The sequence below is a fragment of the Homo sapiens genome, chromosome 14 (assembly GCF_000001405.40).
Source record: "Homo sapiens chromosome 14, GRCh38.p14 Primary Assembly".
Classification (NCBI taxonomy): domain Eukaryota; kingdom Metazoa; phylum Chordata; class Mammalia; order Primates; family Hominidae; genus Homo; species Homo sapiens.
This window is the reverse complement of record NC_000014.9, coordinates 89,146,616-89,163,016: the sequence shown is the minus strand read 5'-3', so window position 1 is coordinate 89,163,016 and position 16,401 is coordinate 89,146,616. Positions and strand designations below refer to the sequence as shown.

Sequence of the window (16,401 nt, the reverse complement as noted above, 5' to 3'; positions counted from 1 at the left end):
TGTCCCTTCTTTGTCTCCCGTCCCTCCCCACTGTCCTCGCTCTGCAGGAATGGCATCACCAGCTGCCGGATGCGGACTGAGAGTGAGCCATCTTGTGGCTCCCCAGTGGTCAGCGGAGACCCCAAGGAGGATCACAACTACAGCAGTGCCAAGTCCTCCAACGCCCGGAGCACCTCGCCCACCAGCGACTCCATCTCCTCCTCCTCCTCCTCAGCCGACGACCACTATGAGTTTGCCACCAAGGGGAGCCAGGAGGGCAGCGAGGGCAGCGAGGGGAGCTTCCGGAGCCACGAGAGCCCCAGCGACACGGAAGAGGACGACAGGAAGCACAGCCAGAAGGAGCCCAAGGATTCTCTGGGGGACAGCGGGTACGCATCCCAGCACAAGAAGCGCCAGCACTTCGCCAAGGCCAGGAAGGTCCCCAGCGACACACTGCCCCTCAAAAAGAGACGCACCGAAAAGCCCCCCGAGAGCGATGATGAGGAGATGAAAGAAGCGGCAGGGTCCCTCCTGCACTTAGCAGGGATCCGGTCCTGTTTGAATAACATCACCAATCGGACGGCAAAGGGGCAGAAAGAGCAAAAGGAAACCACAAAAAATTAAAAACAAGTCACTGATTTGTTTTGAACTTACGACCATTTGGTTTCAGCATGTCAGGAGATTTCTAATGATTTGTGGCAATATCAGCAATTTTTTTTCTTTTTTCTTGTTTTTGGTTTGGTTTTCTTTCTTTTCTTTTCCTTTTATTTTGTTTTAATTTGCCCCCTCTTCTTTGTTTTGGACCCTTAAGAATTTTATTTTTAAAGGAGATTGAAGCCATAGAACTCATATTGACACTCAGCTGTTTTACAAAAGCTTTTCATTATCTGAAGACAAAACCGAAAAAGCCAAAATTACCATTGCTTCCTCCAGCTTGTCAGAAACCTGTGGCTGAATCCGCAGGGATGTCAACGTCAATATCACAGGAACACACATTCGGCACCTAGAAGGCACGTGGGCAAAGTAATCATCGTTCAGGCCCAACCCTTAGGTTTAAAAAGTCAGGTTGTCCATCCCATTGGGTTCACTGAGTGAAGGCACATAAAGCAATTGAGGAGGAGGAGGAACCCCTCGTCCCCCTAGGAGCAGACCCAAGCTTGTGGCACCAGGCATCTGATGGTGCCAGGAAAGCCACTGGAATTGTCACACGGCGAGCACAGAGGGCCGGCCACCAGTCCTCGATGCTTCTGAACCCTGAAGCCCGATGACATCTTACGAGGTGGACGTTGGACTGTTCATGCGCATCGGGTGTCAGTGACTCATGGAGAAGAAATGGGGTAAATTTTTAGTGATGTTGCTAATCATTGAATTCTGTTCTCTATTAAATTAAGAAAATGTTCCAAAAGCCATAAGCCTGAAGATTGGCCCTGTGCACGCACGCACACACACACACACACACACACACACACACACACACACACGAAGGAGAGAGAGAGAAAACTGATGGGGAAAACAAGCTGTGTCTTCTTAACTGCCCAAGTGAAAAGCAACCAAGTCCAGGAAATTACAATAGCTGTTAAGGAAAGGAAATAATGGTACAGATCTTTTTCTGTCTATCAAAACTATTTGATCCAAGTGAAAAAAAAAAAAAAACTAGAAAGCTACGGAACCTGCCATTAGTATTGTGGTGTATTTTTAAGATTAAAGGTACACTGATGGACAAAAAAAAAAAGTAAAACATGGCAAAAAATAAAATAACTCCTATACTGCCCTCAAAATGGAGTTTGCAATTAATATCAGGATTTATCTTTGCAAAAATCAGTGATTTCCACATTCAGCCAGTATAGCCAGCAGAAATTTCTGATCCACAATGCATGGATTCCTTTGAAGAAAAAAAAGAAAAAGAGAAAAAAATCACAAAAACAAACTTTTTTTATTCAAAAGTAACAAAGTTCTTGTAAGGTAAATAATGTATTTAGCATGAAGCATGAATTATTTTCATATAAATATAGAAAATAGAGAAAAGGCTATGCCTGTAATTTTTAAGCCCTTAGGCTTAGAGTTTCTTTTGGTTTTCTTCTTTTTTCTTTCCTTTTCTTTGCTTTCTTTTTTTCCTTTTTGTTTTTGTTTTTGTTTTTTGTTTTTGTTTTTTTTTCGGGTTATTTTGTTTTGGTTTTTTGAAGCAGGTGTTTAAGGTTTAACCTTCTTCAGGGACAAATTCTGACTGTTGGGGAACTTACTCTGCAATATAAAAATATCTTCATGCTCTGGTAGGGCTTGGATGGTTGAACTCTGTACTGCCTTGTGTGCACTTCAGCCCCGACCCCCTCTGATTCTCTGTTGAAAAGTGTGTCCTTTCTCTCTGTCTGTACATGTTTAACATGACGCAATAATTTGAGGGCAAACTTAGTAGTGAGTGTGTATGATAGAATCAAGAGAATTATGGGACGCTTACTTGAGAAAATCATTACCATGATTTGGTTCTAGGAAAAAGGCAGTGAATAATTATGCAAATTAGCCAGAAGAAGGGGAACCGTGCTAATGGGCCTTATTGGGTGAGGGGACGAGATGGGGTTCATGTGAAGGAGGAAGCGATGCCGAGGTAGGAAAGGCCAGCCCCAGACATCCTATCGCCACAATGCCATGTCGCAATAGGAAGCAGGGGCCGGCCATCGCTACCTTCAGCACACTGACCAACCTGGAATTAAGACCACCTAGATTGCGAGAGCTGAATTTAGAAACCAGACAACGTCATGCAGCCCAGAAACTCCTGTTGTTACCTTTGCCTAAGAAATTTTCTTTAATGGCGGGGGCGGGGGGCGGGGGTACAAAGAGAAATCTCTAAAAGAATATGATCTTCCATCCAAGTGGAGGGAAACTTTAAAACAAAAACACCCAGTACTGTGGCTCAGGATATGATGCGTGAGGAGAGGGAGGGAACAGAGATGACCTTAACTTTTAAAAAAGGGACTGCTGTGGGCCAAAGCCAAGCCCATCTGCCAGGACGAGGTAATGTCAGAGCTCCATCAGCCCGGACAGTGGGAACTAACTGGTGCATTCCCCACACTTACCTTCCGGTGGGTTGCTGATGAGAGAACCTGAAAAAACCTACACCTCTACAGCAGGTCGAATTCATGACCTGAAGCTGAATACTTCCAGCATATTTATTCAGGGTGTAGGTGGGAATAAAGTATCTTCGCAGTGCTCTGTTCCCTCCGTCTCCCCAGACATCTGACACCCTAAAAGCCATCCACAGCTATGGAACCTGAGCGACACCTTGATTTGTGTTGTCACCTGACCAAGCCTAAAGACCTCCAGCTCAGTCCCCCACCTTCATCCCACCCCACAGATGATAAAATTCAGACCTCTCTCCTGAAAGGCAGAGGTTCAACATTCAGGACTGTTTCTGGCCGAGGACTTCTTCCAATTAAAACCCCCACCGTGGGCTGTCTCCCCTCATTTCATTTTTCTAAAGGGGCAGAGGCCTCTTTTAGAAAATAATAAAATGCAATGTGTGTGATTTACTTTTCTGATCTCTTTGAGAAATAGAGAAATATAAAAGTGTGTTCTTAACTCCAGAACCACTCTTTTTGCATAAATACCTCATCGGGCAGCTTTCTAAGTGTGATTTTCCTGAGTCTCCCTTCGTTGGATCTGCCGGAAGACTTGTCGGGGAACCTTTAGTGAGGGTACTTCTTCCTATTTTTCTTCTGTTTTTGGAGGCATACACATTATGCATAACCAAAACAATGGCTCAATTGTGTTTAACTTTGTATTTTGATTGTTGAGAACAAAAACAAAAAGTATCAATGTGTATGTGGCTGTTTGTAGTGAATTTATTGGAGAATGAGGTTGTCCGTGTCCTTAACAAGCCAAGGGGCAGGAGGCACCCTCTCTTATCCCCTCCTCCAAGAGCAGTAGAGAATTTAAGCACAAGCCTATTTGTGAAAGAATATTTTGCTTAAGTGTCATTCACTTTAGTCTTGGAATTCCTTCCCAAACGTCAGGTGTTCTTTTAGCTTCCAAACTAGCATATGTATCCATTAGTCTGACAGATCGCCTGAACACCATTAAGAGGTGTGGCGTTTTTGCTTTCATTTCTCCTGCTGGGAGAAGTGGCGGTTCATGTGTCATTCCAGTATCTCACATACTCACACGGGGCAGGGGGGAGGGGGAAACGGGGAACTATAGCAATATTTAAAGATGCTTTGGAAACCAACCGTGAACACATCAACACCACGACGTCTACGATTACTTGCTATTGGCCCTCGGATACATTTAAGAGAAAGAGACAGTCACTCTTTTTTTTCTTAAATGATATACATATAAACAGTTATTTTTATCCTATTATAATTGTCTTTTGTCTTTATCTAGTACTATGTGGAAAGGGTTTGCATCATAGATTTTTCCCAGCCTTATAATATACCATAAGCTCCTACTTCCCTGCCCCTCCCTAATCAGTATTCTTTCAAGAGTTCTTTGGTGAAGCCATCTATCTGAAACTAAAATGAACCAAACCCATATTTCACTGGTGGTTGGAGAAAACCATGGCCAAAACGATTGTGGCAGGTCTCAATCTTGGGAGTTTTTAAGAAGGAATGTGCCAGAGGCCGATTCCCAAGAACAGAGTTTTCTTTTGTTTTGCAGAGGCATTCAATGTGTCTAGTGCTTGCTGGCCACAGCAGTTACTACCACAGAGCCTTCTGGGAGGGGCCGTTGTGTTGAAGGAGGCTCCTGCCTGAGGGACAGCATCAGGCAGTGGGCTCTGTAGAGTGAGAACCAGGTGGAGGCCTTCTGTGCCCAGCTCAGAGTTCTGCACCACGCCAGGACTGCCCAGGCCAAGGGCTACTGACGCAAGTTCCACTCATTCCACTCTGTGGGGGGCGCCTTGGGCCTCTCCTGGAAGGGCTCTTGGAGAAGGAATTGGAGTTACGTACAAGTGACCTAAATGGGAAGCTTTTCTAGATGAGATTGGATTAAATTCCATGTGATTTCTCTTTCCCTTTAATCCAGGTTGGGACTCGTTTCTTTCTGGTGGATCACAGCTGCCCAGATGTTGCAATTGATTTTTATGTTTCTGTAGAGAAGTATTTTTCTTTCATCTTCAGGATTTTTTTTGCCACCAAAAGAAAACATTGGAACTCTGTGTTTCCTCTTGATTGTGACTTCCCAGTGTTGACAGTTAAGTCCTTAGTGTCGTAGGTCCCAGCCCACCAATACTATATCAAACACTGTTATGCACATAATGCAGCACTGTGATCTAATTTAAATAATACTTTTTTATTATTTATACTACTATATATAATATACATCAACACTTTTGCTATATAACCTAAGTGATAACCCTCTTTTAGTTACCTGCCAAACTCTGGACTTGGTTTATATTGCAGTTAACACAGTTACAAAGCTGTAATGGTGTCTTTTTTTCCTTTGTAACGGAATGTGTAAATCAAAGTATATACATTGTGTGGTGTTCCTGTTTCTGGAGTTTCATGAGGATTTACACATGGCATTCAGTGTTCTGTATAGATCTGCCTACCTTTGTGAATTCATCTGTTAACCCCTCTTCCTTTGAGAGAGCACCGGCGATGGTGGTTAACTCCTTGTGTTTTCTCTCTCTCCTACTGGTTATTCTTGAATTAAGCACAGACTCGTCAGCTCGGTTGCTTTATCATGAATAATGTGTGTGACCTTGCAGTTCTTCCACAGTTCAGCAAACAAGTGCTAGCTTCACTGACCAAAAATTAAGGAAGGAAAACACAGTTTTTAAAACGATCCATCTTTTAACAGCCGAAACCGATGTGTCTATGGTGCTGCACCTTGCTGTTGTACTTCTGAAATCAGACGTGTGTGAACGATCATTTCTGACTTAACCGTGAGATGCTCACGAGTACCCTTCCTGTTGTTTTGTTAGCATTGAAATCGAGACTATTTATTTGGAATATATACAACAGTGTTTTTCCACTGTATTTCATTTGCAAAAGTTGAGAACTGCTTTCTCTACCTTTTGCAAAATAATTGATATTCCATATTGGATTCTCAAAGACTTCGATATGGTGAACCTATTAAACCTAGAAATTGTATTCATCCTTTCATGACTGTGGCCTGAGTTCCCCAGCCCCTCTCCTCCTTTTTTTTAGATGAGATTTAGCACACTCTCAGTTATTTAAACATGCAACATTTCTTGAGTATGTATGTTGAGGCCATCTGAGCTCATAGCTGATTCAGTAACCAGTTTCATGCTGTGTCATTCACACTCACTACTTAATACTGCCATGGTGAAAATGTGGAGGAAAAATGTATCCATGTGTGTCTGGGAAGCATATACACTTGTACATTTTTTAATACTCTGATTCTGTAACATTTCTGAGTTTTGTTTTGTTTTACAGAAAAAAAAAAAAAGTGATAAAGCAATCAGAAGACCAAGAGGTTTACTATTGATGCTTAGGGTCGTCTGACCTTGGCTGGCCAATAGACCTACACGGCCAAATTAATTTACGAGAGTAATAATTTTTCAAAAGCCAATTTTTTTTCTGTATTTTCTGTATGAAACTGCCAATATCATGAATAGAAAGGGAGAACCATAAAGGAGAAAGAACGTGATGTTCTGTTATGTTCATGTAAACCTAAAGAAACAGTGTGGAGGCAGGCGCGATCAGCCGAACTCTAGGGACTTGGTGTTGCTTGGAAGGCATCCATACCTGCATTTTGCATTCTTCGTATGTAATCATATTGCCAAAGACAAACTATTTCATCATTTATTGTAAATAACACTTTTCCCCAGACCTACCATAAAGTTTCTGTGATGTATTGTCTTCCAGTTGCAATAAAAATTACTGAGTTGCATCAATTGAAGAAAAACACCACGTAGTGTTATGTGTGCTGCGCCTCCCTGTGCAGATGCTGGTCCACAACGTCATTTCTGTTCCTTACCTGCGGTCAGGCGTGTGTGCAGTTTTTGCAGTCTGGTTTCGGGGTTCTCAGCTGCATTTATTGTGCCCATCCTCACACGTGCGTAGGCTTGGGTGGGCATCACACACTGCTCTGCAAACACAAATGCACATTCGGAAGCTGGGCTTACCCGGGATCTCAAGAGAATTCCAGCTTTGGTGTAGCTGGTGGCTGGCCAGCCTCCCATCATGAGCCTTAAGACTTGTGGTTTAGACAGAGCTTCCCTTTCATTTGGAAGTTGTCAAACAATAAACTGCAATTGTACTTTAGTACTGGAGCCTGCCAGCCTATCCCAGATCCTGAGGGTTTCTTGTAATGACATTCCTAGCCCTAAGACCTTCATCTGCCAGGGTTTATTACGTCATCACTCAAGTGCCCACCCCAGACCCTCGCACACACATCCCCCAGGAGCCAACAAGGAGCTGATGGGAGAGAGGGGAGTGGGAACAAGGAAGGGATCACAGGGCACCACTCACCGTGCTGGAGGAGTAGAAAGAGGATGTTCTCGTGCATCTCTCTGGTTCCTTTTGTGATGGTTTTGTTTTCAGCATGTCCTGTCTGCAGGTCTTGCCACCAACAGTAACCGTAGTGTAGAGTTGGCCTTGGACACTACCCTTCTGCTGGGCCCCCACATCCACTGGTGTCTTTGTTCTCCAAGATGCTTGGGCTGCGTCTCCTGTCCTCCTGCAGTTATGGTATCATTCTGAGGTCATAGGCCCATCTGTCCTGGTAAGCTTACGGGGATAAATTCCTCCCCGTTACCCATCTCAAGGTGGTCACCTCTGGATCCTGTGGGTTTGGCCCTTATTGCTGCCATATCTGATCCCACTGTTGAATCACTTTCAAAGCTGTGATGTGTCCTCCAGGGTACAAATCAATATTTGAGGAGACTTGATTGGGAGGAAGAGCTAAAGTCATTGGGAGCTGAATCTGATGAATCAAGTAATCATCTAAATTGGGTAGTGCTTGAGGCCAAATATAAGGTGGGGCCACCTTAAAACAGCACCTACAACAACCATTTTCAATAAGTGACTCTCGAGACTGGAGGAGAGACCCCACGTGGATGATCAGCATGCCTGAGGGAGCCCTGTCTAAATGATCACACCTGCAAAATTCTGATCAGGTAACACTGTCTTCAAATTCCTATGGGTTCTTAGAGAAGGGAACTTCTCCCCATGGTGTCAGGGACCATGAAGGCTCTTCTGGGTTTGAAGCTGAGTCTGGATGGGTGCCAGTGAGGGGCACTGCAGACCCTAAACAGTTTTCTCCTTACCTTTTGACTGCACTGCCTGATGAAAGTATGAACCAAGAAGTCACCATCCTTCTAGAAAGTTATGAACAGATGAGGGCATTTTCGGGAGTCTGATATGACTAGGAGGTTTTTATGAGCTAAAAGCTCATGTTCTGGTTACCCTAATTCCAGATCACCAAACCAAATGGCCCTACATATGCCAGCAGAAGTGTATTTTGACCTTTTTTTTTTCATTGATAGGAATACAAAACCAGGGTTTGTGGGCTGGGTGTGGACAATTTTTTAAAAGACTCAAGTACAAGGGAATAAGCATTTAATAATATTAAATAATATGTTTATTCCCTTGTACTCAAGTCTTTTAAAAAATTGCTCCTTTGTTTTGTGTGAACAGACCTTTCTAGAGCAGTGTGTCTAAATAATGCTCATAGCAGTCATACCGTAATTTGAAATCATTCTTGGGCATTTTTGGACTCAGTAACTTTTGTGAGAATCGTTTTATGTTACTCCATAATAAAGTAATTTGGAGTATCTATGGCTAAATCTCCTTCAAATACGGCAGCTTACTTGAGAGAGTCAGGAATTCTACTTTTTCTCACCTGGTACACATTTCAAACTGACTTCTAAAAAGATATAATATGGACGAAGTACATATTATGTCTGGTGGGGAAAGTCTGAAACCAAGATAGTGGCTGATTTCTAGCTCCCCCCAGGATACGGTTTCTTCATTAAATGAGTCCAGTCTATTCACATTATAAAACAGGAAGGAATATTAGAGACCATTGGTCCAAACTCCCCATTTTATGGACCAGGCAGCTGAGACACAGGAAAATTTTTGCCCAGGATAACACGCCTAGCTAGTCGTGGAGCTGGACTTAAAGAGAAGAAATTTTCTGTCTTTTCTATTGTATCCATTTATTTGGTATGTAATTATAATCATCAGATCTGTAGGATTTCATAGCTGGCAATTCACCACACGTACACACTTACCATATCCTATGCATTTTCCATATAGCTATAGTGAAAAATGATTATCTTTTGAAGTAATACATAACATCCTGTTGAATGGGTGTCCTGCCATCTTCAACTGTTACCTTACTCTTCAATGTTTATATTGCTTTCAATTTCTCCATTATAAGTAATACTGCAATGAACATCTTCAGGTATGTGGCAATTTACATTCTTTCCACTTGTCTTTCAGTTAGATTGCCTATTGGACTATTGAAACAAAAGTGTTATCAATGAGGTAGCTATTTATACGCAGACTTTCTAAGAGGCACCAATGCCAACAGCAATGAATGCAAACCCCAGTTTCATGACACTCTCACCAGTATTGGATATGATTTTACTCTTTAATTTTTGCTAACAGACAAAAATAGTACTTTGTTGCCATTTTAATTTAAATTTAATTTCTAGCAAAGTTACATTACTTTTCATATGTTTGCTGACTGTTTATTATTTATCTTGGTGGAATCATCTGTAAGTGACTCTCTAAGAGTTTAAAAGAGAGAATTCATATTTATAGACTCCTTGCTACAATGTCCCCAGTTCACCATTAAATGGTGTCAAGATGCCCAAACATCACCTGCCTCCAGAGGTTTTTACCGTATTCAGACACTTCTAATTGTTCCTATATTAAGACAAAATCCTGCTCCCTAAGACTTACCTGAAGGTGCTTAGACTATCCTAAAAGGCCACAAACATGTAAACTTAAATCATCTTGCACATGGCAACAATAATATTGTTGAAAACAACAATAATTTCTAAGTCTTTTTCAGAATAAACATTCCAACTTCTGCCTCCTATTTGCTTTCTTCTGAACATGTTCCCATTTGTGATCAGAACTGAGAACTGACAACAGAATTCCAGGTACAGTTCAATGATGAGAAACTCTCCCCACCTCATTCTAGATCCTCTATTTCCATTAATATAACCAAACCACTGATTCACATTGAAGTTGCTATTAGCTAAAACAAGTAAGTCCTGTCTATTGATGTTCTTCTCCAGATACCCATTTTGAGTCACGGCGAGGGACTACATTATCTCTGTCAAATCTCCTTGGATTTGGTCCACTGTCTTAAGCCAGTTCAGATTGGCAGTGGGCTGGGGGTATGAGGATTCAGATTTTGTCATCAAAAACATTTGCTTTCCTTCCAGGTATCATTTAATCACAAATTTGAAAATGTCTTTTGTATAAGGACAAAGCTGGAGCCATGTGGCATGGGTCTAGAGCCCTCCTTGTAGGTCAACTTTCTTCTCAGTCAGCACCTTTCATTGTCAGTCATTCATCATTCAACTAGTTATGCAGGCACCAGGCTTTCTGAAGATGCAATGTACATGTCTCCATCCAGTCAAAAGTTTGTCAAGTACCTCCTCATTCTCCATGTATAAGTCTGTAGTCTTCCTTTATAAGAAAGGAAATGAAGTTGCACTCTATGCTAAGGTAAGGTCTGCCAATTTGAAATAAAGCAATGAAAAGGAATAAAATTTCACTAATTGCATAAACATTGAAATAATGTGAATTCTACTTTATTCCTATGGGGGAATTAGCCTTGACTTATGTAGTTATTATATGAAGTCTTGAGGAACATACCCCGTACATGAAAAGAAACCACAATTCATTCATTCCTTTACTCTGTCTTAGCCCAAGATGGCTTCCTTGCCAAGAGCTTGCAAACTATTCTCTTAATAATCCACCCAAGATTCTCACTCAGAGGGTGACATTGAGGCTATGGATTGATATGGTTTGGCTCTGTGTCTCCACCCAAATCTCATGTCGAATTGTAATTCCCAATGTTGGAGGAGGGACCTGGTGGGAGGTGATTGAATCATGGGGACAGATTTCCTTCCTGCTGTTCCCATGATAGTAAGTGCATTCTCATGAGATCTGATGGTTTAAAAGTGTGTGGCACTTCCCCCTTTGCTCTCTCTCTCTCTCCTGCTGCCATGTAAAGATGTGCTTGCTTCCCCTTTGCCCTTCTGCCATGATTGTAAGTTTCCTGAGACCTCCCAGCCATGCTTCCTGTACAGCCTGAGGAACTTCACAGTTCCTCTTCAAACCTCTTTTCTACATAAATTACCCAGTCTCAGGTAGTTCTTTATAGCAGCGTGAGAACAAACTAATACATGGATCTGTAGTGTGCAGATATTGTCTGCTGTTTACAACCCGGAAGTTTTGGTATAATGCCTAGTAGTATTTCTTCACTTTATTTACATGCCTATTTAGGGGACTGACCTATCTAGCATGTACTTAGCCTTTAAGTATAGTCAAATGAATTTGTATAGTTAGCTTCCTTTAAAAATATTATCAGGAGTTTGGTAACTTCTGGCACCTACTTACTTTTAAATAGTTGGCCCTTTACCCAACATGGCATATATATTTAAGCATCCAGAACTTCAGTAGACTAAAAAGACTATCCAAAAACACGAAAGAATAAAGAAGTTAAAAAAACAGTTTGGAAAGGGTTGTTTTATTTACTTATTTATTTATTTTTGAGATAGAGTCTCAGTCTGTCACCCAGGCTGGAATGCAGTGGTGTGATCTCGGCTCACTGCAACCTCTGCCTCCCAGTTTCAAGCGATTCTCCTGCCTCAGCCTCCTGAGTAGCTGGGATTACAGGTGTGCACCAGCATGCCCAGCTAATTTTGTATTTTTAGTAGAGACGGGGTTTCACCATGTTGGTCAGGCTGGTCTCGAACTCCTGACCTCGTGATCCACCCACCTCCACCTCCCAAAGTGCTTTGATTACAGGCGTGAGCCACCTCACCCAGCCTGGAAACTTTTTAAATAGATTCTCTCCTTTATTGTCATAGTCAATTCACACTTGTTTTTCAGCAACTGCTATGTGACAATCCTGTTAGGTGCTGGGACACAGATAAAAAATTTGGCTCTTACCTTCAAGCATGATCGTGTCCAAAAATCCAGCTGTGTTGATTAATGGGCATCTCACTGGCAGCTGGTATATCCTTCCCCAAACTTTTTAGTAGTTGTTGGTCTTTTCTAGACATAAGCATGTTGGTTGCAAAGATGAATCCAGCCTTTGTCTTCTTCTCCTGCCAGTCTCCCCTCTTCTCACCTGTTAGCTGATGAGACATTGGATAAGAGCCTGTCCACTATCTGCAGACTTAGCCATCCCTCCAATGGGTGGATTATTTCTTAATGAACTAATCCTTGCTGCCTGGCACCAGCTCTGTGATAAAAAGAATCTGGGACATTTCTTCTGCACGATGCTTGATGTTCTTGGCTTATAAACAAACATTTGTCTCCCATACCTGCCCTGCTCCCGGCTTTTTCTCCCCACCACCTTACTTTTATCACTCCTTTCTCAAAATTGCTCTAAGAGCAAAAGATTGGAGAACCTGAATGGTAGAGGATGCTCTTACTTTATCTTAATAACCCTCCTGCCACTATCATGGCCAAACAAGGGTGTGCAGAGAGATGCATGAAGCCTTCTGTTGATTATCAGGCTAGACTTCCCTGCAAAACTCTTATTCACTGAACATGCTGCATAGACCTGCAGGAGTTCATCACCTCCAGCCTTCTGCCTGAATGTGGACCATGGCAGCAAATTCTGCTCTGAGCTAAGAGGGAATGTGTTCATGCATGCTGATTCACAGGGATCTTGTTGTATTATACAAAAAGCATGCCTTTTTGATGCTTAATCCTTTCTGCTAGGCCATTTCTTGTTTTTTTCCTTTCTTTTTCTTTCTTTTCTTTTCTTTTTTTTTTTTTTTTTTTTTTTTTTTGTTTGTTTGTGTGTTTGTTTTTGAAACAGGGTCTTCCTCTGTCACCTGGCTGGAGTGCTCAGTGCCTGATTGTAGCTCACTACAGCCTTGCCCTCCCAGACACAGACAGTTTTCCCACCTCAGACCCCCAAGTAGCTGGAAATACAGGTGTGTGCCACCACATCTGGCTTTTTTTTTTTTTTTTTTTTTTTTTGGAGCAATGGGATTTTACAGTGTTGCCTAAGCTGGTCTTGAACTTCTGGCCTCAAGTGATCCTCCCACTTCAGCCTCCCAGATTTCTGGGATTACAGGCATGAGCCACCATGCCCAGCCTAGACTATTTCTCTTAGGCTAAAAATTTCATCTAACCCATCAGACCCAGTAGGAGGGAAACAACTCTATATTTTTCCACCTTTACTGGCAGTAACTAATCCCCTTGGGAGTAAAAATGTCAATTGGCAACTAAGAAAATTCTGAAGGAGGGATATATATTTTACACCTGAGTTAACTTTTTTACGCTGCAAAGGCAGAAGTTTTCTTCTCTGTCTAACGACTTGTAACTTAATAATAACATAAACACACTGTGTTTAACATTCGTCTTTCATGTTTACAACGTGCTGTGAAGAAGTCAACCTGTCCATCCCAAACCAACCCTTCTAAGAAGCCTCAAATCATCCAGAGTCCCTCCTGCTCTGTCAGCTCCTCCATGGAACCCAACACCCAGTCTGGCCAGTTGTACTTTAAACTCACCTTTGATCATCCTTTGTCCTCCACTCCTCTGGCCGCCATCCTGGTCAAGTCCCATTTCCTCTTGCCCAGATGATGACCACAGGTGCTGGTCTCCACTGACCACACATTCCTCTGCAGGACCATGAGACTTCTCTTTCCAAATCACCTCTGATTCTGTCATTTCTCAGACCCACCTGAACTGCGGGCATCCTCAATGACTCCAGTCACCAAACTCTTCAGCCTTTTGTGGCTCGGGGCCTCTTCACATTTTTTCCCCTTCCTGGGATGCTCTATGCACTCCCTACCTCTCTCCTCCTGAAAAGTCTCTGTCAGTCCTTCAAGGCCCAAGTCATATCGTTCTCTCACCAAGTTCCAGACCACCAAAGTCCTGTCTCTATTGGTGGCTGTCATCACAGGCTGTTAGGATTTTAAATCCACCTGTTGGCTCCCCTGATGGAGGTGATCTGCTTAGGGGCAGGCATCAGATGGTATTTTATGCTGAACCCCAGTACGGTGCCTGCCACTTGGATACTTAAGGTGTTCTAAATTTAAGGTGTGTGTTTGTTTTTCATATCCTCAGTTAGCTAAACAGATAGTTGGCAATGATACGTCCATTTCACCAAATTTTTCTTTCATTCAGAGCCAGCAAGCGGTATATCTCTGTCTCTTTTCCACAAGAAACTTGCTCCAGCCTGGGCAATATGACAAAACCCTTTAACTACAAAAATTTCAAAAAAATTAGCCCTTTCTCCCCACATTTTGCCATCAAACCCTATCAATTCCACCTCTTAAGCATCTCCAAGTTCCATCCTCACTGCGATAGTAACCTCTGTGCAAACCTATATCATTGCTCTGTTGGATTTTTGCAGTTAGAAAACTTGCATTAATTGCTTCCCCTTTCTCCATTTGTACAAGTCAGGCCCCACCAGGGAAATGGAGACACTCTAAGTATATTATCAGTGATCTCCAGAGAAACAGAACCAATAATAGATAGATGATAGACAGATAGATAGATGATAGATAGATAGATAGATAGATAGATAGATAGATAGATAGATAGAGGTCTAGATACACAAGCAGAGATTTATTATGATACTTGGCCTACACGATTATGGAAGCCTAGAAGTCCCATAATATGCTGTCTGCAAGCCAGAGACCCAGGAAAGCCGGTGGTGTAATTCAGTCTGAGTCTGAAAGCCTGAGAACCAGGAGAAGACAGATGTCCCAACTCAAGAACAGAGATGGAAAATTTGCACTTCCTTTTTGTTCTGTTCATGCTCTCATCAGATTGGATGACGCCTGCCTACATTGGTGAGTGTGGATCTTCTTTACTCAATTTACTGATTCAAATGCTAATCTCACCCAGCTATGGTCTCACAGAAATAGTGTTTTACCAGCTATCTGGGCATCTCTTAGCCCAGTCAAGTTGCACGGGAAATTAACCATCACACCAAGTATAGGTTGGTGCAAAAGTAATTGTGGTTTTTGCCATTAAAAGTAAGGCATCACAATAGTGAGTTCTCATGAGATCTGGTTGTTTAAAAGTGTTTGGCACCTCCCCTCTCTCTCTCTTCCTCTTGCTCCAGCCATGTGAAGTGCCTGCTCCCCCTTTGCCTTCCACCATGGCTGTAAGTTTCCTGAGGCCTCCCCAGAAGCCCAGTAGATGCCAGCCTCATGCTCCCTGTACAGCCTGAGGAACCATGAGCCAATTAAACATCTTTTCTTTATAAATTACCCAGTCTTAGGTATTTCTTTATAGCAGTGTGAGAATGGACTCATACTCATGCAGAGCTAAGCCTAGCTGAGCAGAGGAAGGCCAAGGAAGGAAACTGAGGGCACCAGGAACCCCCAGGCTAGCACGCTGGTCCTGCCCCTCTTTTATCCATTCCCCCACAACCCACTGCAGCCAGGATGACCGTCCAATCACCCATCTGACACTGTGCCCCTGCCTAAAGTCCTATGCTGTGCCCTGTGCTCTGGCTAAGCTCCCAGCCAGCCCTCCAGTCTGATCTCCCATCCCCTCCCAGGCCCACTCTGAGCCTCAGCTGCTTGGTAAGTTGCAGTTCCCAGGATGTTCCTAGTGCCTTCTGTTGCTTCGCATGGACCACCCTCTCTGCCTTTCTGGAATGTCTTCATGTCTTCCCTCTGTGTTCAACTTCTCCACTCCCTGCTACCAAGGTACCTTGTGGTTAACATGCTTTCATTCTAGCACTTGCTATGTTTCTCTGTGGCTATTGATTTCCCAGTGTCTGTCATGTTCTCCTAAAGGGCAAGCTTTTTGCCCTGTACATCTGTTTATTCCCAGGACCTGCCTTAGCATCTGGCTGCAGCAGTCACTCAGCTAGCATTTTTTGGATAGACAGATGGATGAACAAGACTTACTGCTCAGATCCTAGCCTGCATACTATAAATGAGAGCATTGCACCCTCTTCCCCAACCACAGCAAGATGCAGGACAGAGCAGGAGTTGGAATTGTATTCAGGAGCATTTGACAGCAAGATATTCCCTCCCACCTAGGAGAGCTCTAGGGGCATGAGGCCTTGCTCACTGCCCATCTTGGGGTCTCAGGGATAAATAGGAGATGGTTTGGCTTGTTTTATCTAGGCCATATCCATGGCCAGGTTCTCTATGGCCAGCAGGCTGAAGGAATCATCCTCCTTCCCCTGAATGTGAGGCCCAGAAATGTCACAGTTCCAAAGGCTTCTAAAGTATCTGGATAAAGAGGAACAGAGAGGAAGGGACAGGACCCACAGGATCTACTATCTCCC

General features: G+C 43.0%; 1 protein-coding gene across 2 annotated transcripts in view; it reads left to right on the top strand.

The window, feature by feature from the left end:
• FOXN3 (forkhead box N3) overlaps positions 1-6,840 on the top strand; it is a 462,989-nt gene extending 456,149 nt beyond the window's left edge. For both annotated transcript variants that reach the window (NM_001085471.2, NM_005197.4), the window contains one exon: positions 48-6,840. In NM_001085471.2, coding sequence (NP_001078940.1) covers positions 48-603 — 556 coding nt within the window. In that variant the 3' untranslated portion in view covers positions 604-6,840. The remainder of the gene's footprint in view (positions 1-47) is intronic.
• The last annotated feature ends 9,561 nt before the right edge of the window (positions 6,841-16,401 follow it).